Source organism: Homo sapiens, chromosome 1, assembly GCF_000001405.40.
Source record: "Homo sapiens chromosome 1, GRCh38.p14 Primary Assembly".
Taxonomy (NCBI): Eukaryota; Metazoa; Chordata; class Mammalia; order Primates; family Hominidae; genus Homo; species Homo sapiens.
In genome coordinates, this window is record NC_000001.11 from 151,075,053 (window position 1) to 151,101,169 (window position 26,117).

A 26,117-nucleotide genomic window follows, 5' to 3' on the forward strand; every position below is an offset into this window, starting at 1 on the left:
AATTGCTTGAGCATTAGAGGCAGAGGTTGTGGCGAGCCGAGATCGTGCCACCGCACTCCAGTCTGGGCGACAGAGTGAGACAGTCTCAAAAAACAAAACAAGGGCCAGGCGCAGTGGCTCATGCCTGTAATCCCAGCTCTTTGGGAGGCTGAGGCGGGCAGAGGTCAGGAGATCAAGACCATCCTGGCTAACACGGTGAAACTCCATCTGTACTAAAAATACAAAAAATTGGCCGGGCACGGTGGCTCATGCCTGTAATCCCAGCACTTTGGGAGGCCCAGGAGGGCAGATCACGAGGTCAGGAGATCGAGACCATCCTGGCTAACATGGTGAAACCCCATCTCTACTAAAAATACAAAAAATTAGCCGGGCATGGTGGCGGGCGCCTGTAGTCCCAGCTACTCGGGAGGCCGAGGCAGGAGAATGGCGTGAACCCAAGAGGCGGAGCTTGCAGTGAGCCGAGATTGTGCCACTGCACTCTAGCCTGGGCGACAGAGCGAGACTTTGTCTCAAAAAAAAAAAAAAAAAAAAAAAAAAATTTAGCCAGGTGGGAGACTGGGACAGGAGAATCGCTACAACCTGGGAGGCGGAAGTTGCAGCGAGCTGAGACTGCACCACTGGACTCCAGCCTAGGCAACAGAGCGAGACTTCATCTCAAAAAAACCCCCCCCAAAAAAACCCAAAAAAACACAAAACAAAACAAAAAAAGAATGCCTTAATGGGAATGCAGCCCAGTAGGTCTCAGCCTTATTTCACCCAACTCCTATGCAAGATGGAGTTGCTCTGGTTCAAACACCTCTGACATTTCTCCCATCCCTTTTATTAGAGAACCCTTAATCCTAGGGGTTACAAAGAAATAAAGATCCATCTTCTGTAACTTTTTCAGGGTGAATAGGGGCGATGATATTCCTGCCTGACTCTTAGGGTCTCTTGTATTCAGGGTTCAGAGAGGAGCTCAGTCAGAAAGCATCAGTATGGTGAGAGCTATTCATAACTCCAACAAAAGGTGATATCTGGAAGATTAAAAGGTGTTCAGTTTAAGAAAACATTCAGTAAGCTTATCCTGCATTCCTACACAAAGAGTACAACAGCAATATACTCCTCAACAGTAAAGCAAAATAAGCAAAACTATCCCAAGTAAATTAAATAAGAAGGTTTTCCATGAACTGGGCAACTGTTGGAACCAAGCTGATTTGGGGTTACTAGCTGATTCCAGTATGTGCCCAGAATTAGAATATTGATCCAGATTTTTACATTACCCATTCCTTTTGTTTCTTGTGAGCAGCAGCCAGAGATCACTGGTTGGTTCACAGGAATAAGCAGAGTTAATCTAAGTTGCAGAAAAAAACTTAAAAACAACTGATGAGACTAGAATTTTTATTTTTTTTATTTTTTGAGACAGAGTCTTATTCAGTCACCTAGGCTGGAGTGCAGTGGCACAATCTTGGTTCACTGCAAGCTCTGCCTCCTGGGTTCAAGCAATTCTCCTGCATCAGCCTCCGGAGTAGCTGGGATTACAGGCATATGCCACCACGTCCGGCTAATTTTTGTATTTTTAGTAGAAACGGGCTTTCACCATGTTGGCCAGGCTGGTCTCGAACACCTGACCTCAGGTGATCCACCCGCCTCAGCCTCCCAAAGTGCTGGGATTACAGGTGTGAGCCACTGTGCCTTGCCAGTCTCCCATTTTTACTAAAGGCAAATCATGGTAAAATAGATTGGCTTTATTAAACTTGGTCTGATTTTTTTTTTTTTTTTTGAGATGGAGTCTCACTCTGTCGCCCAGGCTGGAGTGCAGTGGCGCAATCTCGGCTCACTGCAAGCTCCACCTCCTGGGTTCATGCCATTCTCCTGCCTCAGCCTCCCGAGTAGCTGGGACTACAGGTGCCTGCCACCACACCCGGCTAATTTTTTGTATTTTTAGTAGAGACGGGGTTTCACTGTGTTAGCCAGGATGGTCTCAATCTCCTGACCTCGTGATCCGCCCTCCTGGGCCTCCCAAAGTGCTGGGATTACACTTGGTCTGATTATTTGTATAAAGTGCAGCAAGAATAATGATTTTTCACATAGGCTTTTTAAATTGGCTTTGAAAGAACTTTGTTCCGTAAAAGGAATCTCACATAAGACTTACAAAGCCAATTAAAGCCCGTTGGGAAAACTGGCCTCATACCTTGTCTAAAGTCCCTGTACAGGGTTCCTGATCTGTGGTAAGTAAAGAGTGTCACTTTCTGACTTTCTGACAGGCCCAGGAGCCCCACATTATCCTGGGACCTCAGGAGGGGAGGAATTTATCCAACTCATAGGTTTTTTTTTTTTTTTTTTTGAGATGGAGTCTCACTCTCTCACCAGGCTGGAGTGCAGTGGCGCAATCTCGGCTCACTGCAGCCTCTACCTCCCGGATTCAAGTGATTCTTCTGCCTCAGCCTCCTGAGTAGCTGGGACTACAGGCATGCAACACCACGCCCAGCTAATTTTTGTATTTTTAGTAGACACAGGGTTTCACCATGTTGGCCAGAATGGTCTTGTTCTCTTGACCTTGTGATCCGCCGCGCCCGGCCACTCATAGGTATTTGAGGGTATAAACCCATGGCTGGGCTCAGCTTTAAAAAAAAAAGAGAGGCCAGGCGCAGTGGCTCACGCCTGTAATCCCAGCACTTTGGGAAACCGAGGCAGGTGGATCACAAGGTCAGGAGTTCAAGACCAGCCTGACCAACATGGTGAAACCCTGTCTCTACTAAAAATACAAAAATTAGCCGGGCATGGTGGCACGTGCCACCTAATCCTAGCTATTCAGAAGGCTGAGACAGGAGAATCGCTTGAACCCAGGAGGCTGAGGGTGCAGTGAGCCAAGATCACACCATTGCACTCCAGCCTGGGCAACAGAGCAAGACTCAGTCTCAAAAAATAATAATTTTCTTTAGAATAATAAAAATAAAGGCCGGGCACGGTGGCTCACGCCTGTAATCCCAGCACTTTGGGAGGCTGAGGCAGGTGGATCCCCTGAAGTCAGGAGTTCAAGCCTCGCCTGACCAACATGGTGAAATCCTGTCTCTACTAAAAATACAAAATTATCCAGTTGTGGTGGCACGAGCCTGTAGTCCGAGCTACTCAGGAGGCTGAGACAGGAGAATTGCTTGAACCTGAGAGGTGGAGGCTGCAGTGAGCCGAGATCACACCACTGCACTCCAGCCTGGGTGAGACAGAGTGAGACTTCAACTCGAAAAAAAAAAAAAAAGAGTAAGAATAAAAATTCATTTTACACTGGGCGCGGTGGCTCACGCCTGTAATCCCAGCACTTTGGGAGGCCAAGGCGGGCGGATCACGAGTTCAGGAGATCGAGCCCATCCTGGCTAACACGGTGAAACCGTGCTTCTACTAAAAATCCAAAAAATTAGCCGGGCATGGTGGCGGGTGCCTGTAGTCCCAGCCACTCAGGAGGCTGAGGCAGGAGAATGGCATGAATCCGGGAGACGGAGCTTGCAGTGAGCCGAGATCGCGCCACTGCACTCTAGCCTGGGCCACAGAGCAAGACTCCGTCTCAAAAAAAAAATAGAAAAAAAAATTCATTTTACTTTTTCTTTTTTTGTTTTTGTTTGTTTGTTTGTTTGAGACAGTCTCGCTCTGTTACCCAGGCTGGAGGGCAGTGGCACAATCTTGGCTCACTGCAACCTCTGCCTCCCAGGTTCAAGTGATTCTCCTGCCTCAGCCTCCTGAGTAGCTGGGAGTACAGGCGTGCACCACCACACCTGGCTAATTTTTGTATTTTTAGTACAGGCGGGGTAGTAAAATTTTGTATTTTAGTAGGGGCGGGATTTCACCATGTTGGCCAGGCTGGTCTCCAACTCCTGCCCTCAAGTGACCCGCCTGCCTCTGCCTCCCAAAGTGCTGGGATTACAGTCGTGAGCCACTGTGCCTGGCTACATTTTACTTTTTCTTAAGATGGATGCTTCAGGTTAACTCAAAAGAGTAACTGAGGATAGGAGGAGAAAATAGCCTTGAAGAACGCATTTCTATATCTTTCTTATATTAGGAGGTAAATATAGCACCCTATTTACATTCTAATCCCAAAGTTTAATTATATCTCTATATAGTAAGAAATAGGGCTTTAAAATCATGGCTTGTTGAAAGAATGGGATGACAGATTTGGGTTGGTTGTCATTTAGTAGTATTGATATGTGACAGAAAGATGATTAAAGAAGAGTGATAGGCCAGGTGCAGTGGCTCACGCCTGTAATCCCAGCACTTTGGGAGGCTGAGGCTGGCGGGTTACTTGAGGTCAGGGGTTCAAGACCAGCCTGGCCTAACCTGGTGAAACACTGCCTCTACTAAAAATGCATAAATTAGCCAGGCGTGGTAGTAGGTGCCTGTAATCCCAGCTACTCAGGAGGCGAGGCAAGAGAATCGCTTGAATCCAGGAGGCAGAGGTTGCAGTGAGCCATGATTATGCCACTGCACTCCAGCCTGGGAAACAGAGTGAGACCCTGTCTCAGTAAATAAATATATAAATACGATAAATGTAGATATGAAAGCAGACTACAGTATAAAACACTGCTCAGAAACATTTTGCGACCGGGCGCAGTGGCTCAGGCCTGTATCCCAGCACTTTGGGAGGCCGAGGCAGCGAATCACCTGAGGTCAGGAGTTCGAGGGGCTGACCAACATGGTGAAACCCTGTCTGTACTAAGAATACAAAATTAGCTGGGCATGGTGACACATGCCTGTAATACCAGCTACTCGGGAGGCTGAGGCAGGAGAATCGCTTGAACCTAGGAGGCGGAGATTGCAGTGAGCTGAGATTGCACCATTGCACTCTAGCCTGCGTAACGAGCAAAACTCTGTCACACACACACACAAAATAATAACAATAATAATAATAAAACATTGCCGGGCACAGTGGCTCATGCCTGTAATCCCAGCACTTTGGGAGGCTGAGGCTGGTGGATCGCGAGGTCAGGAGTTCAAGACCAGCCTGGCCAAGGTGGTGAAACCCCATCTCTACTAAAAATACAAAAATTAGCCAAGCGTGGTGGCACACGCCTGTATTCCTAGCTACTTGGGAGGCTGAGGTAGGAGAATCGCTTGAACTTTGGAGGCAGAGGTTGCGGTGAGCCAAGATCATGCCATTGCACTCCAGCCTGGGCAACAAGAGCCAAACTCCATCTCAAAAAAAAAAAAAAAAAAAAAAAAAAAAACAATAATTAGCTGGGTATGGTGGTGGGCAGGCCAAGCTGGGCAAATCACCTGAGGTCAGGAGTTCAAGACCAGCCTGACAAACATGGAGAAACCCTGTCTCTACTAAAAATACAATATTAGCTGGGCATGGTGGCACATGCCTGTAATCCCAGGTACTCGGGAGGCTGAGGCAGGAGAATCGCTTCAACCCAGGAGGCAGAGGTTGCAGTGAACTGAGATCATTCCACTGCACTCCAGCCTGGGCAACAAGAGCAAAACTCCATCTCTAAATAAATAAATAAATAAATAAATAAATAAATAAATAAAATAAAAAGGGTTTAGGCCAGGTACAGTGGCTCACGCCTGTAATCCCATCACTTTGGGAGGCCAAGACAAGCAGATCACTTGAGGTCAGGAGTTCAAGACCAGCCTGGCCAAGATGGTGAAACCCCATCTCTACTAAAAATACAAGTATTAGCTGGGCATGGTGGCGTGGCACCTCTAATCCCAGCTACTCGGGAGACTGAAACACAAGAATCACTTGAACCCAGGAGGTGGAGGTTGGAGGTTGCAGTGAGCCGAGATTGCGCCACTGCACTCCAGCCTGGGTAATAGAGGAAGACTATGTCTCACAAAAAAAAAATAAAAAAGAAAGGTTTTTTTTTTGAGACGGAGTCTCGCTCTGTCCCCCAGGCTGGAGTGCAGTGGCTCAATCTCGGCTCACTGCAACCTCTGCCTCCCGGGTTCACGCCATTCTCTTGCCTCAGCCTCCCGAGTAGCTGGGACTACACGGGCCCACCACCACGCCCAGCTAATTTTTTTGTATTTTTAGTAGTGACGGGGTTTCACCATGTTAGCCAGGATGGTCTCGGTCTCCTGACTTCGTCATCCGCCCGTCTCGGCCTCCCAAAGTGCTGGGATTACAGGCATGAGCCACCACACCCGGCCAACATAAAACATTTTTATAAAAAATATATCTTCAGGCCTGGTGTGGTGGCTCATGCCTATAATCCCAGCACTTTGGGAGGCTGAGGCCAGCGGATCACTTGAGTTCAGGAGTTTGAGACCAGCCTGGACAACATGGTGAAACCCCGTCTCTACTAAACATAGAAAAATTAGCCAGGCATGGTGGTGCACACCTGTAATGCCAGCTACTTGGGAGGCTGAGGCACAAGAATCACTTAAACACTGGAGGCGGAGGTTGCAGTGAACCGAGATTGTGTCACTGCCCTCCAACCTGGGCAACAGAGCAGCGAAACCCTGTCTCAACCCCAAAAAAGAAACAAAGAAACAAACCGTATATATATATCTTCAGAGTTAAAAAATGGTGAGAACAAGAGCATTGTTTTATATATTTTTTCAACTCTCTTTAACTTCTGGCTTAATAGAAGACAGCTGCATTCTCATTATTATTTATTTTTTTTTTTTTAGATGGTGTCTCGCTCTGTCACCCATGCTGGAGTGCAGTGGCGTGACCTTGGCTCACTGCAACCACCACCTCCCAGGTTCAAGCAATTCTTCCGCCTCAGCCTCCCGAGTAGCTGAGACTGCAGACGTGCACCACCATGCCCAGCTAATTCTTTTGTATTTTTTGAAAAGACAGAGTTTCACTATGTTGGCCAGGCTGCTCTCGAACTCCTGACCTTAGGTGATCTGCCCGCCTCAGTCTCCCAAAGTGCTGGGTTTACAGGCGTGAGCCACCGCACCCAGTTGATAGCTTCATTCTTATATCTACTTCATTCTGTTACAATATGTACTTGTCGAAGGAAAGAGTATTATAATAACTTTTTCCAGTAACAGTGAGTATTCTTTGATACTGCACAAAAACTTGACAAGTGGTAATTTCTTTTTCTTTTTTTTTTTTTTTTTTGAGATGGAGTCTCACCCTGTTGCCCAGACTGGAGTGCAGTGGTGCGATCTCGGCTCACCACAACCTCTACCTCCCGGGTCCAAGCGATTCTTCTGCCTCAGCCTCCCAAGTAACTGGGACTACAGGCACATGCCACCATGCCCAGCTAATTTTTGTATTTTTAGTAGAGATGGGGTTTCACCATGTTGGCCAGGCTGGTCTCAAACTCCTGACCTCAGATGATCCACCCGCTTTGGCCTCCCAAAGTGCTAGGATTACATGCGTGAGCCACTGCGTCTGGCCAACAAGTGGTAATTTCTTTTTTTTTTTTTTTTTTTTTTTTTTTGAGACGGAGTCTTGCTCTGTCGCCCAGGCTGGAGTGTGGTAGCTCGATCTCGGCTCACTGCAGGCTCCGCCTCCTGGGTTCATGTGATTCTCTTGCCTCAGGCCTCCTGAGTAGCTGGGACTACAGGCGCCCACCACCATGCCCAGCTAATTTTTTTTTTTTTGTATTTTTAGTAGAGATGCGGTTTCACTGTGTTAACCAGGATGGTCTCAATCTCCTGACCTTGTGATCCGCCCACCTCAGCCTCCCAAAGTGCTGGGATTATAGGCATGAGCCACTGTGCCAGGCCAACAAATGGTAATTTCTTAAAAGTTAGTTTACGAAGGCAGGAGGATTGCTTGAGGCCAGGAGTTTGAGACCAGCCTGGGCAATATAACAAAACTGCACCTCTACAAAAAACTAAAAAATTAGTCAGGCATGGTTGTGTGCACCTGTAGTCCTAGCTACTCAAGAGGCTGAGGACGGAGGATTGCTTGAGCCCAGGAGTTCAAGGCTGCAGTGAGCTATGATCATACCACTGCACTCTAGCCTGGGCAACAGAAAAAGACCCTGTCTCAAAAAAAAAAAAAAGAAAAGAAAAAGTTAGTTGCAATGAGGAATTTGAAAACACATCAGTGAATTTTTCTATTCTGTAACCTTAAAACCCATTGATCTTTCACTTTGAATTGTTTCACTTGTGCATGATTTCATTACATTAAACATTGGTCATTTGGAAAGTATTGGTTCACCAAATTGTATAGGTCATCTAAATATTGATGCATTTTATTATACAATGTCAAAAAATCACATTAATATTACCACTTATTTCATCAGGAAAGTCTTTAATGTGAGTTACCAAGTTGATGGTGGTGGTTATAGATTTTCCAAAATTCTAATTTTTGCTTGAAAGCTCAAATTGTAATTGATAATTGGCAATAAATACTGTCAATTGGCTGGGCGCGGTGGCTCACGCCTGTAATCCCAGCACTTTGGGAGGCTGAGGCAGGCAGATCACCTGAGGTCAGGAGTTTGAGGACAGCCTGGCCAACATGGCGAAAACCTGTCTCTACTAAAAGTACAGAAAAATTAGCTGGACGTGGTGGCACATGCCTGTAATCCGAGCTACTCGGAAGGCTGAGGCAGAGAATTGCTTGAACCCAGGCAGCAGAGGTTGGCAGTAAGCCGTCATCTCGCCACTGCACTCCAGCCTGGGTGACAGGGCAAGACTCCGTCTCTATAGAGAGAAAAAAAAAAAATTATATATATATATATGTATATATACTGTCAGTTGTTCTCCTTGAAGTGGCAGCTCACTTTGTTCATTTTTTATTTTATTCATTTATTTGTTATTATTATTTTTTGAGATGGAGTCTTGCTGTGTCACCCAGATTGAAGTGCCTTGGTGCAATCTTGGCTCACTGCAACCTCCACCTCCCAGATTCATGCAGTTCTCTGCCTCAGCCTCCCGAGTAGCTGTCATTACAGGCACCCGCCACCATGCCCGGCTAATTTTTGTATTTTTAGTAGAGATGGGGTTTCATTATCTTGGACATGCTGGTCTTGAACTCCTGACCTCGTGATCCAGCCCCCTCAGCCTCCCAAAGTGTTGAGATTACAGGCATGAGCCACCGTGCCCATCCTTTTATTTTTATTATATATATAAAAAAATATATATATTTTTTTAATGTGGAAATGGGGCCTTACTGTGTTGCCCGGGGTAGTCGGGTAGTCTCTTACTCCTGGGCTGAAACTGCCCTCCCACTTCTGCCTCCCTAAATGCTGCAATTGCAGGCGTGAGCCACTGTGCCCAGCTGTTTTTTTTTGTTTGTTTGTTTTGTTTTTTGAGACGGAGTTTCACTCTTGTTGCTCAGGCTGGAGTGCAATGGCGGGATCTCGGCTCACCGCAACCTCCCTCCCGGTTCAAGTGATTCTCCTGCCTCAGCCTTCCTGAGTAGCTGGGATTACAGGCATGCGCCACCATGCCCGGCTAATTTTTTTTGTATTTTTAGTAGAGATGGGATTTCTCCATGTTGGTCAGGCTGGTCTCAAACTCCTGACGTCAGATGATCAGCCCGCCTTGACCTCCCAAAGTGCTGGGATTACAGTCATGAGCCACCGCGCCCGGCCCTAGCTGTTTTTTTTTTTTTTTTTTTTGAGACGGAGTCTCACTCTGTCGCCCAGGCTGGAGTGCAGTGGCGCAGTCTCGGCTCACTGCAAGCTCCGCCTCCCAGGTTCATGCCATTCTCCTGCCTCAGCCTCCCGAGTAGCTGGGATTACAGGTACCCGCCACCATGCCCAGCTAATTTTTTGTATCTTTAGTAGAGATGGGATTTCACCAGGTTAGCCAGGATGGTCTCGATCTCCTGACCTTGTGATCCGCCCGCCTCTGCCTCCCAAAGTGTTGGGATTACAGGTGTGAGCCACCGCGCCCAGCCAGCTGTTCATTTTTAAAAAACATACCTGCCATATACCTGAGCCCTTGGTCTATTCATCATTCCTTCATATAAAAGTGATGTTGCAGACTCTGTCTCTACAAAAAATTTAAAAAAAAATTAGCTGGGCATGGTGCCACTTGCCTGTAGTCTCAGCTACTTGGAAGGCTGAGATGGAATTGCTTGAGCCTAAGTGGTCAAATCTGCAGTGAGCTGTGATCACGGCACTGCACTTCAGCCTGGGTGACAGAGCAAGAACCCGTCTCAAAAATAATAAAATAAAATGGCCAGGCGCGGTGGCTCACACCTGTAATCCCAGCACTTTGGGAGGCCGAGGCAGGCAGATCATCTGAGGTCAGGAGTTCGAGACCAGCCTGACCAGCATGGCAAAACCCCTCTCTACTAAAAATAAAAAAATTAGCTGGGCATGGTGATGGGTGCCTGTAATTCCAGATACTTGGGAGGCTGAGGCAGGAGAATCGCTTGTACCTGGGAAGCAGAGGTTGCAGTGATCTGAAATCATGCCATTGCACTCCAGCCTGGGTGATGAGAGCAAAACTCTGTCTCAAAAATAAAATAATAAAATGATGTTCCATGATAAAAGCAGTTATTTATTTTATTTTTTTTTGAGACGGAGTCTCGCTCTGTTGCCCAGGCTGGAGTGCGGTGGCACAATCTCGGCTCACTGCAAGCTCCGCCTCCAGGGTTCACACCATTCTCCTGCCTCAGCCTCCTGAGTAGCTGGGACTACAGGCATCTGCCACCACACCTGGCTAATATATATATATATATTTTGTATTTTTAGTAGAGATGGAGTTTCACCGTGTTAGCCAGGATGGTCTTGATCTCCTGACCTCGTGATCTACCCGCCTGGGCCTCCCAAAGTACTGGGATTATAGGCGTGAGCCACTGCGCCTGGCCAAAAGCAGTTATTTTAGCTTGTAACTTAATCGTGTAGTGCTTTTTCTCAAGAAAACCATCATGTTTCAGTAAGCAGCAGAAGTATTTTATGTCGGATAGGCACAGTGGCTCATGCCTGTAATCCCAACACTTTGGGATTCTATTGCTATGGACAGATCATGCAGAATAGTGGGTACAATATAATTGTCATTTGGGCAAAAAGGTAGAGAAGAGGCTGGGTGTGGTGGCTCACGCCTGTAATCCCAACACTGGTGGGGCCAAGATGGGTCGATTGCTTGAGCCCAGGAGTTTGAGAACAGCCTGAACAATATTGTGAATCCCCATCTCTACAAAAAATACAAAAATTAGCTGGGCATGGTGGTGTGTGCTTGTAGTCCCAGCTACTCGGGAAGCTGAGATGGGAGGATCCCATGAGCCCAGGAGGTCAGGACTGCAGTGAGCTGTGATTGTGCCCACTGCACTCCAGCCTGGGTGACAGAGTGAAACCCTGTCTCAAAAAAAAAAAAGTGCTTTATGTATACTTCCCATTTTGTCACACATAAATTATAAACACATATATTCAGGTGTTGAGATTTAATACAATTAATAATTTTTGCTGTGTCATCCAGGACACTCCTAAGTAGAACTGGCAATTTTCCCTTGAGATTACATGGCAGTGAAGAATACAATAACCAATAGCACAGTTTGATTCATGCTAAGGCACCAGCAGTTATACCCACTGTTGGATTTGCACCGTTAGTGCTAATGTAAACATGGAAAAAGAAAAAAGGCAAATAATGTTTTTGTATTATAACAAAAATAGTTTTGACCTCATAGTTCCCTAAAAAGGCATCAGGGACCACCAGGGGTCCATAAACCATATTTGTTGAGCTACTGGCCTAACGAGATCAGTGTTTAATCAGTGAAAGCTTGTTCTTAATTTTTTTTTTTTTTTGAGTCAAGATCTGGCTCTGTTGCCCAGGCTAGAGTGCAGTGGTGCAATCTCAGCTCACTGCAACCTCCACCTCCTGAGCTCAAGTTTTCCTCCCACTTTAGCCTCCTGAGTAGCTGAGACTATAGGCACGTACCACCATGCCCAGCTAATTTTTGTATTTTTTTGTATATATATTTTTTATTTTTTCGAGATAGTGTCTCGCTCTGTCGCCCAGACTGGAGTGCAGTGGTGCGATCTCAGCTCATTGCAACATCCACCTCCCAGGTTCAAGCAATTGTCCTGCCTCAGCCTCCCAAGTAGCTGGGTCTACAGGCATGTGCCACCACGCCCGGCTAATTTTTGTATTTTTAGTAGAGACAGGGTTTCACTATGTCGGCCAGGCTGGTCTCAAACTCCTGACCTCAGGTGATCTGCCTGCCTTGGCCTCCCAAAGTGCTGGGATTACAGGCGTGAGCCACCGCGCCCAGCCAATTTTTGTATTTTTTGTGAGACGGTTTCGCCATTTTGCCTAGGCTGGTCTCAAACTCGTGAGCTCAAGTAATCCTCCTACTTTGACCTCCCAAAGTGCTGGGATTACAGTCCCAAGCCACTGCACCCCTCTTTGTCTCCTTAAATTTTAAGCATGATTATATGATTACACGATAGTCAGAAGATAAAAACTAGATTAAGATGTAGTTTGGGCCGGGCGCAGTGGCTCACGCCTGTAATCCCAACACTTTGGGAGGCTGAGGTGGGTGGATCACTTGAGGTCAGGAGTTCAAGACCAGCCTGGCCAACATGGTGAAACCCCATCTCTACTAAAAATACAAAAATTAGCCAGGCATGGTGGCGGGTGCCTGTAATCCCAGCTACTCAGGAGGCTTAGGCAGGAGAATTGCTTGAACCCGGGAGGCAGAGGTTGCACTGAGTCAAGATCACACCACTGCTCTCCAGCCTGAGCAATACAGCGAGACTTAGTCTCAAAAAAAAAGAGAGTTACAGTTTTATTTGGAAACCTTGATGTGTCCTGTTTCATTGTGCTATCCAAAGACCTACAAACCTCCAGAGAGAGCAGTTAGTTGCTAATAAGGGCTCTCATAATTTCCATCAAGCAGTAGTTTCACAGATGGGCATCCACCTTGCTCCCTTCCTGGAGATCAAAGTACATACTTTATTATTTTATATTATGTTCCTTAAAATAATATTGTACCCTTCTTCATTTCAGGGGAATGAAATGGTGTTTTATCGATTCCTTAAACTAGAAAGGTCGTAGTGTGTTGCAGATATTTCCAGAGTATTTTTCTGGGGATTGAAAGTGATAGAACTATGTATTAGGGCTTGAAACATTCCCAAATATTTTATTGTTTGTGTTAGACGAGGTAGAAAGGAAGTGACCTACCAGACAGTCAACTTGAGATGTATCTTATATACATTCAAATATAAGAAGTCTTCTAAAAAATGTATTGGCGGCTTTCCTTATGTTCGAGTTATAGCTACCTGAAAACTTTTGTTCCTATGCATAAAGATGTCTTTGGTGGACTTGGGAAAGAGGTTGCTAGAAGCAGCAAGAAAAGGCCAAGATGATGAAGTGAGAACGTTGATGGCAAATGGCGCCCCATTCACCACAGACTGGGTAAGCTTAGAGGAGAGGTCTCTTAATTATTTCCAATGTATGCTTTTACCAACATTTTTCTTAAAGGCTAACAGACTATTGGTTTTTCTTCACTCCCTTTCTACCTCATATCCCTTACAAGAGTTTTATTTTCTTTGTCTCATCTGAATATGTGGTTTTCTTTTTCTTTTAGTTTTCCAAATTGAGAGTCTCCTGTGGATATATAGGTGATAATTGTAAGGTATTATATACTTGTGATTTTCTATAATGTTTTTTAGAGTATTTTCTAAAGGTTTAACTGTCTCTGGAGTGTACTTGGGTTATAGGCTTCTGTAATTAGCTAGAAATTAAACAAAATCAATATAATAAGAATGCATTCCTAGACTAATAAATTCCTTGTTTCCTTTTCTCTAATATGCCCTGGTTAATAAGAAATTGTCTAGGCTGAGCGTGGTGGCTCACGCCTGTAATCCCAGCACTTTGGGAGTCCAAGGCGGGCGGATCACCTGAGGTCAGGAGTTCGAGACCAGCCTGCTAACATGGTGAAACCCGTTTCTACTAAAAATACAAAAAATTAGCTGGGCATGGTGGCGCACGCCTGTAATCCCAGCTACTTGAGAGGCTGAGGCAGGAGAATCGCGTGAACTCGGGAGGTGGAGGTTGCAGTGAGCGGAGATTGCACCATTGCACTACAGCTTGGAAACTCTGTTTCAAAAAAAAAAAAAGAAGTCATCTAGCTGTTTTGTTTCCTTTACCACTGTTCAAAAAACATTAAAGAGGAAGGTGTAATTTAGCCTCAACCATCTTGGAGACCAAAGACTTTCAGAAGAAACAGGTCCAAGTTATAATGTGGGCTTTCTTAGCAGTCACAGATTTTGTACACATTGCCTAATTTTAACAATTTCAATGAATGAGTGACCTCTATTCTGGACTGATTAATTGAGAGGCCAACAGATTATTAGCATTTCACAAAAAGAAAGAAAAGGAAACCCATGAAATTAGCATTTCTATAAATAGACCTGGAAAGAACAATGTGAATTAAATTCAGTCAGGCAGAGAGGCTAAATATATGAAAAAGCAAAGAATAAACTAAACAGGCTTAAAATAAAGAGCATAACAAAAAGAAGGGAATAGAGCTCTGGCCAAAGTGGATGCTGATAGATAACTCTTACAAGATTTACACTGGGATGACAGACTTACTTATTGCTGTTGATACATCATTGCTAAATTTTTATTGCGTCTTCATCTCATCATTCATTTTGCCCTGCTTTACTGTGGCAAAAAACTTTTCTTCCAGTCAGTCAAATTTGTACCTCAAATTCCACATGTAACTTTCTAGTCTCTACCCTTTTTCTTTTTTAAAATTTACTTTATTTATTTATTTTTTAATTTATTATGAGATAAGGTCTCTCTGTGTTGCCCAGGCTGGTCTTGATCTCTTGGGCTCAAGCAGTCCTCCTGCCTTGACCTCCCAAAGTGCTGGGATTGCAGGCATGAGCCACCACATCCAGCCTGATCCTTTTTTTGTTTGTTTTAACCTTCTAGACGTTGCGTAAAGTCACGTCCTTTAGGGAATCTTAACTGATAAATCCACCTGACATAAAGCCATTATACTTAGTACTTATTCAATTGGTGGTATATTTATTTGTCCATTAGCATGTTAATTTTTTTTTTTTTTTGAGACGGTGTTTCACTCTGTCGCCCAGGCTGGAGTGCAGTGGCACAATCTCAGCTCACTGCAACCTCTGCCTCCCAGGTTCAAAGCAATTCTCCCTGCCTCAGCCTCCTGAGTAGCTGGGATTACAGGTGCCCACCACCACGCCTGGCTAACTTTTTTTGTATTTTTTAGTTGAGACGGGGTTTCACCATGTTGGCCAGAAGAGTCTTGAACTCCTGACCTCAGGTGATCTGCCCACCCTGGCCTCCCAAAGTGCTAGGATTACAGGTGTGAGCCAGTGCACCTGGCCCCTGGCCTTTAATTTGTAAATTTAAGCATTTTTTCAGTTTTATCTGCCCAACCAGATTCTCTCTTGAAGGACAAGAACCATAGCTTGTTCATTTGTATCTCTCCAGTAACGATCTAGGACTCTGCACACAGTGGATATTCAATGAGCATTATTTTTCCACAGCTTGGAACATCACCCCTCCACCTTGCAGCTCAATATGGTCATTATTCCACAGCAGAAGTACTCCTTCGAGCAGGTGTTAGCAGGGATGCCCGGACTAAAGTAGACAGGACCCCCTTGCACATGGCTGCAGCCGATGGACATGCGCACATCGTGGAACTGCTTGTTCGGGTAAAGCAAGAATAGGGGCAAGGTTATGTTGTTAAAAAGGCATCCACTTTCCTGTTTTCTTACTTAAATGGGTACTAGGAAATGACTTGGGAATGATTAAGTTTAGGACAGTTATAGCATTAAGTTGCATCTCCAGGAGTCTTCATGGCAGGCCGGGTGCCTATAATCCCAGCACTTTGGGAGGCCGAGACGGGTGGATCACAAGGTCAGGAATTCGAGACCAGCCAGACCAACATGGTGAAACCCCATCGCTACTGAAAAAAAGCAAAAAAAAATTAGCAGGACGTGGTGGTGCGCGACTGTAATCGCAGCTACTCAGGAAGCTGAGGCAGGAGAATCGCTTGAACCTGGGAGGCGGAGGTTGTGGTGAGGCAAGATCACGCCACTGCACTCCAGCCTGGACAACAGAGCAAGAATCCGTCTCAAAACAAAACAAAACAAAACAAAAAAACAAAAAAACAAAAAAAAAAACCTTCATGGCTATGAGGAGTCTGTTTTCTTATTTATTTTTTGTTTGTTTGTTTGATTTTTGAGAAGGAGTCTTGCTCTTGTGGCCCAGGCTGAAGTGCAGTGGCACGATCTCTGCTCACCACAACCTCTGCCTCCTGGGTTGAAGTGATTCTCCTGCCTCAGCCTCCCGAGTAGCTGGGATTACAGGCGCCCGCCACTACACCCAGCCAATTTTTGTATTTTTAGTAGAGACGGGGTTTCACCATGTTGCCCAGGCTGGTCTCAAACTCCTGACCTCAGGTGATCCACCTGCCTTGGCCTCCCAAAGTGCTTGGATTACAGATGTGAGTCACCGCACCTGACTGTTTTCTAATTTATTAAAACAATTTTTTTTTTTTGAGATGAACTCTCAGCTGGGTGCGGTGGCTCACTCCTGTGTCTCAAAAAAAAAAAAAAAAAAAAAAAAAAAAAGATGAAGTCTCGCACTATCGCCCAGGCTCGAGTGCGGTGGCACAATCTTGGCTCATTGTAACCTTCGCCTCCTGGGTTCAAGCGATTCTCCTACCTCAGCCTCCCAAGTAGCTGTGATTACAGGCGCCCACCACCATGCTCAGCTAATTTTTTTTTGTATTTTTAGTAGAGATGGGGTTTCACTGTGTTGGCCAGGCTGGTCTCAAACTCCTGACCTTGTGATCTGCCTGCCTCGGACTCCCAAAGTGGTGGAATTATAGGTGTGAGCCACCACGCCCGGCCCTAAAACAATTTTTTAAATTTGAGACAGGGTCTCACTCTTTTGTCCTGGCTGGAGAGCAGTGGCATGATCATAGCTCACTGCAGTTTTCAACATCTGGGTTCAAGCAATCCTACTGCCTCAGCCTCCAAAGTAGCTGGGAGGACTACAGGCATGCAGCACCATGCCCAGCTAATTTATTTTTGTTTTTATTTTTTGTAGAGAATAGGGTCTCGTTGTATTGCCCAGCCCAGGCTGGCCTTGCACTCCTGGCCTCAAGCAATTCTCCTGCCTCAGCCTCCCAACACTGACAGGTGTGGGGTTACTGTGCCTAGCCAGTTTTCTAATTTTTTTTTTTTTTTTTTTTTTTTTGAGATGGAGTCTTGCTCTGTCGCCAGGCTGGAGTGCAGTGGCGCAATACTGGCTCACTGCAACCTCTGCCTCCCAGGTTCAAGCGATTCTCCTGCCTCAGCCTCCGGAGTAGCTGGGACTACAGGCGTGCTCCACCACACCCAGCTAATTTTTATATTTTTAGTAGAGATGGGGTTTAACCATGTTGGCCAGGATGGTCTACATCCCTTGACCTCGTGATCCACCCGCCTCAGCCTCCCAAAGTGCTGGGATTACAGGCGTGAGCCACCGCACCCAGCCATTTTTTTAAAATCATATTTAAAAAAAAAATACAGATGAGATCTCACTACGTTGACCAGGCTGGTCTCAGACTCCTGGCCTCAAGTGATCCTTCCATCCTCAGCCTTCCAAAGTTCTGGGATTACAGGCATGAGCCATTGCTCCCAGCCTAGTTTTCCAATTTATTATTATTATTATTAATGGTTTTTGTTTTTTTTTTTTGGAGACGGTGGTCTCACTCTGTCACCCAGGCTAGAGTGTGGTGGTGCAGCCTCCACCTCCCAGGCTCAAGAGATTCTCCTACCTCAGCCTCCCCTTTAGCTGGGACAACGGGCATGTACTACCACGCCTGGCTAATGTTTTGAATTTTTTGTAGAGGCATGTTTTTTCACCATGTTCCCCAGGTTCATCTTGAACTCCTGAGCTCAAGCTTTTCTAATTTTTTAAAGGCTAAACAGACTTACTGATTTTTCTTCTTTCCGTTCCTGAAGGTATTCTCTGCACTTATGCCTATTTATTCAGGCACTTGGCTTTCTGTTAATAAATGCAACAAAAATCTGTTCTTTCTCTCTTTGTCTTCCATCTGTTTAATTTCCCATTGATGTCCTTAGAGGACCCACTCGTTGAAAGCATTATGTCTGTCAGCATTTAGGAGAATTTGAGAAATGTTTTTCCCTTTGATATTCCTTAAATGTGATCTAGATTTGAGTACGTAATCTCTATGGAAATCCTCTGTATTTGATGATGGGATGTTGCACCTGTGCTACTATAACCGCTGTTTGTTGAAAAAAATGCTTTTCTGTGACAGAATGGTGCAGATGTGAATGCCAAGGACATGCTGAAGATGACAGCTTTGCATTGGGCCACAGAGCGCCACCATCGAGATGTCGTAGAGTTACTTATCAAATATGGAGCTGATGTCCATGCTTTCAGCAAATTTGATAAATCAGCCTTTGACATAGCTCTGGAGAAAAACAATGCTGAGATTTTGGTCATCCTCCAGGTGTGGTTCTTTTTATACTCTCCAGAATGTATGTTAATTGAAGTTAAGGATTTTTTTGTAGGAGCTGAATCAAAACTGAATTTTCCCTATTTTATTAAAGTAGCACTTCTAATATGTCTCAATCTTGTGACTCAGTGTCATTAGTATCTTTAAAATACAGCTATGTATAGAATATATATTTGTGTGTATATATGTATACGCATATATATTTTTTATATTTTTTATATATATTTTTTAATATATATATTCTATAAAGCCCTGAATTAATCATGGTGATTAAAGAACCATGTTGTGGCTAGTACCAAAAACATTTATTTGGCTTTAGAATGTCTTTTTCTCCATGAAAATTTCCCTTTCTAATTAAACTTGACTTGGGACAATATTAAAAGTTACTTGATGTTTTCTGAATATTCATCAACTGATGTGAGACAGTATACAGATGCTCCTTGACTTATGATAGGGTTACTTTGGATCCATTTATGATGAGTTTATGCAGGTGTAACCCCATCATAAGTCAGATCACTTTCACACCATGGCAAAGTTGAAAAATTGTAAGTTGAACCCTTGTAAATTGGGGACTATCTATGAAGCTCTAAAGCATATTGAGTGATAAGGAAGCCACTTCAGAATTTAAAATTAACTGTGATGATTTCGTCCTTTTTTTTTTTTTTTTTTTTTTTTTTGAGGCAGAGTCTCACTCTGTTGCCCAGGCTGGAATGCAGTGGCATGATCTCAGCTCACTGCAGCCTCCATTTCCTGGGTTTGAGGGATTCTTCCACCTTAGCCTCCCGAGCAGCTGGGACAATAGCCACACACTACCATGACCAGCTTATTTTTGTATTTTTAGTAGAGACAGGGTTTCGCCATGTTGCCCAGGCTGGTCTCGAACTCCTAACTTCAGGTGATCCACCTGCCTTGGCCTCTCAAAGTGCTGGGATTACAAGTGTCAGCCACTGTGCCGGCTGTGTCCCATTAATTTCTGTTTCCCACCCCCGACCCCGAGATAGAGTCTCACTCTGTTGCCCAGTGCAATGGCACGATCTCGGCTCACTGCTTGGATTCAAGTGATTCTTCCTCCTCAGCCTCCTGAGTAGCTGAGATTACAGGCACCTGCCATCATGCCCAGCTAATTTTTGTATTTTTGTAGAGACAGGGTTTCACCATTTTGGCCAGGCTGGTCTTGAACCCCTGACCTCAGGTGATCCGCCTGCCTCGGCCTCCCAAAGTGCTGGGATTACAGGCGTGAGCCACTGCGCCTGGCCTGCCCATTAATTTCTTAAGCCAGCACTGTACATCAGGGAACAATAGGACAGGGGATATAAAAATTAACAGGACATGGGCCAGGCGTGGTGGCTCATGCCTGTAATCCCAACACTTTGGGAGGCCGAGGCAGGTGGATCACCTGAGGTCAGGAGTTCGAGACCAGCCTGGCCAATATGGTGAAATCCCGTCTCTACTAAAAATGCAAAAAAAATTTGCTGGGCATGGTGACGTGTGCCTGTAATCCCAGCTACTCGGGAGGCTGAAGCAGGAGAATCACTTGAACCTGGGAGGCAGAGGTTGCAGTGAGCCAAGATCGCGCCACTGCACTTGAGCCTGGGTGACACAGCAGGATTCCATCTCAAAAAAAAAAAAAAATTAATAGGACATGAAGTGTTGAAAGCATGATAAAAGTAAAGACAGGCAAGAAAATATTATAATATTGCATAATAAATAGATATCTAGTAAGTGCCATGGGAGCACAAAGGAGGGAATAGTGGAATCTGAACTGAATATTGAAGTAGGCAGAGAAGTGAGAAAACTATATTCTAGCCTAGAAAAAGAGCAAATCAAAGACACAGAGGTGTGAAAGAACGTGGAATGTTCAAGAAAAAGTAGTTGAGTGATGAGAGAATGGGCAAAGGAAGTAGAGTTTGGGAGTGGCAGATGCTAAGCTTGAAAGTTAGGCTGGATTCTGAATGTAGGGATGCTTTACAGCGTGTGAAGGAGTTTGAACTATTATGTGGGCGATGCATTTGGATAGAAGTTTTTAAATAGAGGACTGATATGACTAAATTTGGTTTAAAAAGATGATTGTTTGGAATGTGGCACACAGATGAGAGAGACACTTAATGCTAAATAACTATACGGTGACTTTCATTAGGCCAGGCAAGGGCCAATGAGAACTTGAACCAAGGAAGTGCTACTATTTCGCCACGTAGCAGTACTACTCTTCCCTCCTCTGTGCTCCCATAGCACTTACTAGATGTCTGTTTATCATGTAATATTGTAATATTTTATTTCCTATCTTTAATTTTATCGTGCTGTGAACACTTCATGTCCTAGTGGAGGATAAAGGAAAAGGGCAAATTCAAGAAGGAATTTAGGCCAGGCATGGTAGCTCACGCCTGTAATCCTAGCACTTTGGGAGGCCGAGGTGGGTGAATCCCCTGAGGTCAGGACTTCAAGACCAGCCTGGCCAACATGGTGAAACCTCATCTTTACTAAAAATACAGAAATTAGCTGACTTGGTCGTGGGTGCCTGTAATCCCAGCTACTTGGGTGATGGAGGCAGGAGAATCGGTTGAACTTGGGAGGTGGAGGTTGTAGTGAGCTGAGCTGAGATCGTGCCACTGTACTCCAGCCTGGGAGACAAGAGTGAGACTCTCAAAAAAAAAAAAAAAAAGGAATTTCACAATATCCAAAGAATGGATAACCTGTTTCATTTGAAGCTCTTAGTCAAGGGGATAATTATATATGAAAAACAGTCATTTCTGGCTGGGCGTGGTGGCTCATGCCTGTAATCCTAACACTTTGGGAGGCTGAGGAGGGTGGATTGCCTGAGCTCAGGAGTTCAACGCCAGCCTGGGCAACTCGATGAAACCCTGTCTCTACTAAAATACAAAAGAAATTAGCCGGGCATGGCAGCGTGCGCCTATAGTCCCAGCTACTTGGGAGGCTGAGGCAGGAACCCTGGAGGCGGAGGTTGCAGTGAGCCGAGATCGCACCACTGCACTCCAGCCTGGGCGACAGAGTGGGACTCCGTCTCAAAAAAAAATAAAAAGAGAGAGAGAGAGACAGAGAAAGCAAGCAAGCAAGCCATTTCTGCTGCATTTTCAGTATTTTTTTTTAATTGACAGGTGGTCTATATACTGGTTAGTCCCTTGAACTTTCAATTCTTTGTTTAGAGCCCTTTCATAACTGGACTTTTTAAAGTAGTGATTATGTTTGTAGAAAATTGCTTCTGAAAGTAATAAAGATAAGCTACTTTTCACCAAAATTGAACAGATATCCCTGGAAGCAAAAGTACAGCATATGGAGCGAGACTTTAAAATCTGGCACTTATTTATTTGCTTGTTATATATTCTCTCAGGAATTTTTTCAATGGCCGAATGGAACAAGTAGTTGGACAAAACTCTAGAGAATATTGTTCTCTATAGATACTCTGCAGGGATCTCTTGCTAGCACACTGACTTGTAGATAATTAATCATAAAATGTTAGTGCTGGAAATTACTTTTTAGGCTATTCAGGTCAACTCCCTCATTTTTCTTTTTTCTTTTTTTGAGACGGAGTCTCACTCTGTCGCCCAGGCTGGAGTATAATGACACCAACTTGGCTTACCGCAATCTTGGCCTCCTGGGTTCAAGCAATTCTCCTGCCTCAGCCTCCCGAGTAGCTGGGATTACAAGCACCTGCCACCACGCCCAGCTGATATTTTTGCATTTAGTAGAGACAGGGTTTCACCATGTTGGCCAAGCTGGTCTCAAACTCCTGACCTCAAGTGGTCCACCCGCCTCAGCCTCCCAAAGTGGTAGGATTACAGGCATGAGCCACCGTGCCTGGCCTGACTCCCTCATTTTTCAAATGAAAAAAACAAGATTCATAGAGGTTGATTGAATTGTCTAGAAGTTTTTGCAAATGATACACCTTTGCTTTCCTGAAGTAGGAACAAGCTTTGGAAAGCAACCTAACAACTCTGTTGGCCTGGTCTGAAAAAAAATGGTGGTCTTAATGAGAACTCTGATCTCCCTGGGACATTGTGTACCGGAACTAGTTATAATTGATAGAGCATTGGGATGGGAGTGGAATATGCTGTTCAGTAACTGTGTAACTAAAGCTAATAAGTGTTCTTGGGCTGGGCACGGTGGCTCAAGCCTGTAATCCTACCACTTTAGGAGGCCAAGGTGGGCGATTTGCCTGAGCCCACAAGTTCTAGACCAACTTGGGCAACATGGCAAAACCCTCTACTAAAAATACAAAAAATTAGCTGGGCGTGGTGGCGTGTGCCTGTAATCCCAGCTGCTCGGGAGGGTGAGTCATGAGAATTGCCTGAACCCAGGAGGTGGAGGTTGCAATGAGCCAAGATCGTGCCACTGCACTCCAGCCTGGGTGGCAGAGTGAGACTGTCTCAAAAAAAAAAAAAAGAAAGACAGAAAAGAAAAGCTAATAAGTGTTCTGATTGAAATATCCTGCCTTGTTTGATAGGAAGCAATGCAGAATCAGGTGAATGTTAATCCAGAGAGAGCCAACCCTGTGACTGACCCTGTGAGTATGGCTGCTCCATTCATCTTCACGTCGGGTGAGGTTGTTAACCTCGCAAGCCTTATTTCTTCAACCAACACCAAAACAACCTCAGGTAATGTTCTGATAACATGAAATTTATTTTAGACTCAAAAAAGAACAGAACCCTAGATTTTCCAGGAGATGAATGGATACCCTTTCTAATACTCCTTAATTAAAATATTGCCAAAGCAGAAGATTTGTAATAGATTTTAAAGCTGAGGTACTTATTCTTTCTGGGGAAGGGAAGATCATACATAGGGATTACAAAGGAATACTTATTGTGTTAAAAGTAAAATATTCTGGCTTGGGCACAGTGGCTCATATCTGTAATCCCAATGCTTTGGGAGGCCAAGGTGGGAAGATTGCTTGAGGCCACCCTGGACTGGACAACATAGCAAGACCCCATCCTCTACTAAAAATAAATTGGATGGGCATGGTGATGCATACCTGCAGTCCCAGCTACTCAGGAGGCTGACATGGGAGGATCTCGTGAGCTCAGGAGTTGGACTTACTGTGAGTTATAATTGTGCCACTGTACTCTGGCCTGGATGACAGAGCAAGACCCTGTCTCTAAAAAAAAAAAAAAAAGGAAAATATTGTACAGATTAATCTATTGAAGGGTTATGCCTAGACCAAAAATGAAAATATGAAGGTGCCTCAACATGATACTGATAAGGGAAATAAACATTAATAGTTTAAAGCAGTAACAAAGCAGAATAAACATAAGCGGCTTTTGGAGTACTGATATAAAAGAGGTAAATGTGATTATCTGAATAAAGTATAAGAGTCTGGATTTGTTCTTAGTGCATATATAAAAAGAAAACAGCAGAGAAAACTACTTGGTGTTGATCTTTTGAAACCTGTATGTTTTTGACTTGGCGCGGTGCCTCACGCCTGTAGTCCCAGCACTTTGGGAGGCCGAAGTGGGTGGATCACCTGAAGTCAGAAGTTTAAGACCAGCCTGGTCAACATGGTGGAACCCCATCTCTACTAAATATACAAAAATTAGCCGGCTGTGGTGGTGGGTGCCTGTAATCCCAGCTACTTGTGAGATTGAGGCAGGAGAATCGCTTGAACCTGGAAGGCGGAGGTTGCAGTGAGCCGAGATTGCGCCATTGCGCTCCAGCCTGGGCAACAAGAGTGAAACTTCATCTCAAAAAAAAAAAAAAAAAGAAAGAAAGAAACCTGCATGTTTTCAACAAAACCTTCTATCTAAATAAGAATGAATGAGTTTGTTTTTCAGCATCTCCTTTATTTTTTATTTTTTATTTTTTATTTTTTTCTCCAAGGCGGAGTCTCGCTGTGTTTCCCAGGCTGGAGTGCAGTGGCGCAATCTTGGCTCACTGCAACCTTTGCCTCCCGGGTTCAAGCGATTCTCCTGCCTCAGCCTCCTGAGTAGCTGGGACTACAGGCATGTGCCACCACGCCCAGCTAATTTTTGTATTTTTACTAGAGATGGGGTTTCACCGTGTTAGCCAGGATGGTCTTGATCTCCTGACCTCATGATCTACCCGCCTCGGCCTCCCAAAGTGCTGGGATTACAGGCATGAGCCACCGCACCTGGCCTATCAGTTAGCATCTCCTTTTATAAATATTTTTTTTACAATGAAATAACTTGTGTCCTCATTTAAATAAATTTTCCAGTTGACTATTGGTTTCTTTTTCTGTTTCTTTTATTTGAAATAACAGTATTCTTAGTTAAGTTTCTATAATGTCAAAGGAAAGATCTTGACTAAGCTATTGATATTGAGAGGTAGTGTGGTAAAAGAGAAGAAGCAATGTATGTGATATACACAGAATTTTGGAATCAGAATTGTGCTCAAATAATTATTGGTTGACTAGCTGCTTAACCCTAGGAAAACTTCATACTTTTCTATGCCTTGTTTACTTATCTGCAAAATTGGGATATAATAATACCTACTTTATGAGGTTGTTGTGAGAGTTTGAGAATTTGTATTTCAAGGTCCATTTTATAGTAGGGCTTCAATAATAGCTATTAAATGAAAACGTAGTATCTTAGCGAAGCTTGACCCCAACATGCCCACCAGGGGGCAATAGTGATCTTCATTTTATAAGCTATCAACAGTTATTTAAAATAATTTTGCATTCAGCAGGATGATACAAAAACTTTACATTAAATTTATATATACATGTAATCAGAACATTCACAATCTTTTGTATTCATATTGGTTCAGTCACACTGATTAAAACAACTTTTTTTTTTTTTTTTTTTGAGACGGAGTCTCGCTCTGTCGCCCAGGCTGGAGTGCAGTGGCCCAATCTCAGCTCACTGCAACCTCCGCCTCCTGGGTTCAAGTGATTCTCCTGCCTCAGCCTCCCGAGTAGCTGGGATTACAGGCGCCTGCCACCATGCCTGGCTAATTTTTGTATCTTTAGTAGAGACGGGGTTTCACCATGTTGGCCAGGCTGGTCTCGAACTCCTGAGCTTGTGATCCACTCGCCATGGCCTCCTAAAATGCTGGGATTACAGGCGCCTGCCACCACACCCAGCTAATTTTTTTGTAGTTTTTAGTAGAGATGGGGTTTCACCATGTTGCCCAGGCTGGTCTCAAACTCCTGGGCTCAAGCAATTCACCTGCCTTAGCCTCCCAAAGTATTGGGATTACAAGTGTGAGCCACTGTGCCTGGCCTTTTTTTTTTTTTTTTTTTTTTTTTTGAGACAGAGTTTAACTCTGTCACTCAGGCTGGAGTGCAGTGGCATGATCTTGGCTCACCGCAAACTCTGCCTCCCAGGTTCAAGCGATTCTTGTGCCTCAACCTCCTAAGTAGCTGGGATACTGGTGCCTGCCACCACGCCCAGCTAATTTTTGTATTTTTAGAAGAGACGGGGTTTCACCATGTTGGCCAGGCTGGTTTCAAACTCCTGACCTCAGGTGATCTGCCCACCTCGGCCTCCCAAAGTGCTGGGATTACAGGCATGAGCCACCGTGCCTGGCCCTGACTTCTTGAAAGAAGAAAAACTGGAAAGAATATTTAAGCATAGGTAGTGGGAAAACTTAAAAATTAAGAGTAGACTGGGTGCGATGGCTCACGCCTATAATCTCAGCACTTTGGGAGGCTGAGGCAGGTGGATAGCTTGAACTCATGAGTTCGAGAGCAGCCTGGGCAGCATGGTGAAACCTGGTCTGTACAAAAAATACAAAAAAAAAAAAATTAGCCAGGCATGGTGATGCACACCTGTAGTCCCAGCTACTTGGGAGGCTGAGGTGGGAGAACAGC

At 44.6% G+C, this 26,117-nt stretch overlaps 1 protein-coding gene across 9 annotated transcripts in view; it reads left to right on the plus strand.

Annotated features, from left to right (window-relative positions):
- Nucleotides 1–26,117, plus strand: part of GABPB2 (GA binding protein transcription factor subunit beta 2) — a 54,782-nt gene that overhangs the window by 4,292 nt on the left and 24,373 nt on the right. For 4 of the 9 annotated variants that reach the window (NM_144618.3, NM_001323906.2, NM_001323909.2 and 1 more), the window contains exons 2-5: nt 13,138–13,245; nt 15,354–15,521; nt 18,140–18,334; nt 22,800–22,950. In NM_144618.3, coding sequence (NP_653219.1) covers nt 13,138–13,245; nt 15,354–15,521; nt 18,140–18,334; nt 22,800–22,950 — 622 coding nt within the window. Of the gene's footprint in view, nt 1–13,105; nt 13,246–13,417; nt 13,466–15,353; nt 15,522–18,139; nt 18,335–22,799; nt 22,951–26,117 lie in introns of all 9 variants that reach the window. The other 5 variants (NM_001323912.2, NM_001323913.2, NM_001323910.2 and 2 more) reach the window with 4 other exon arrangements.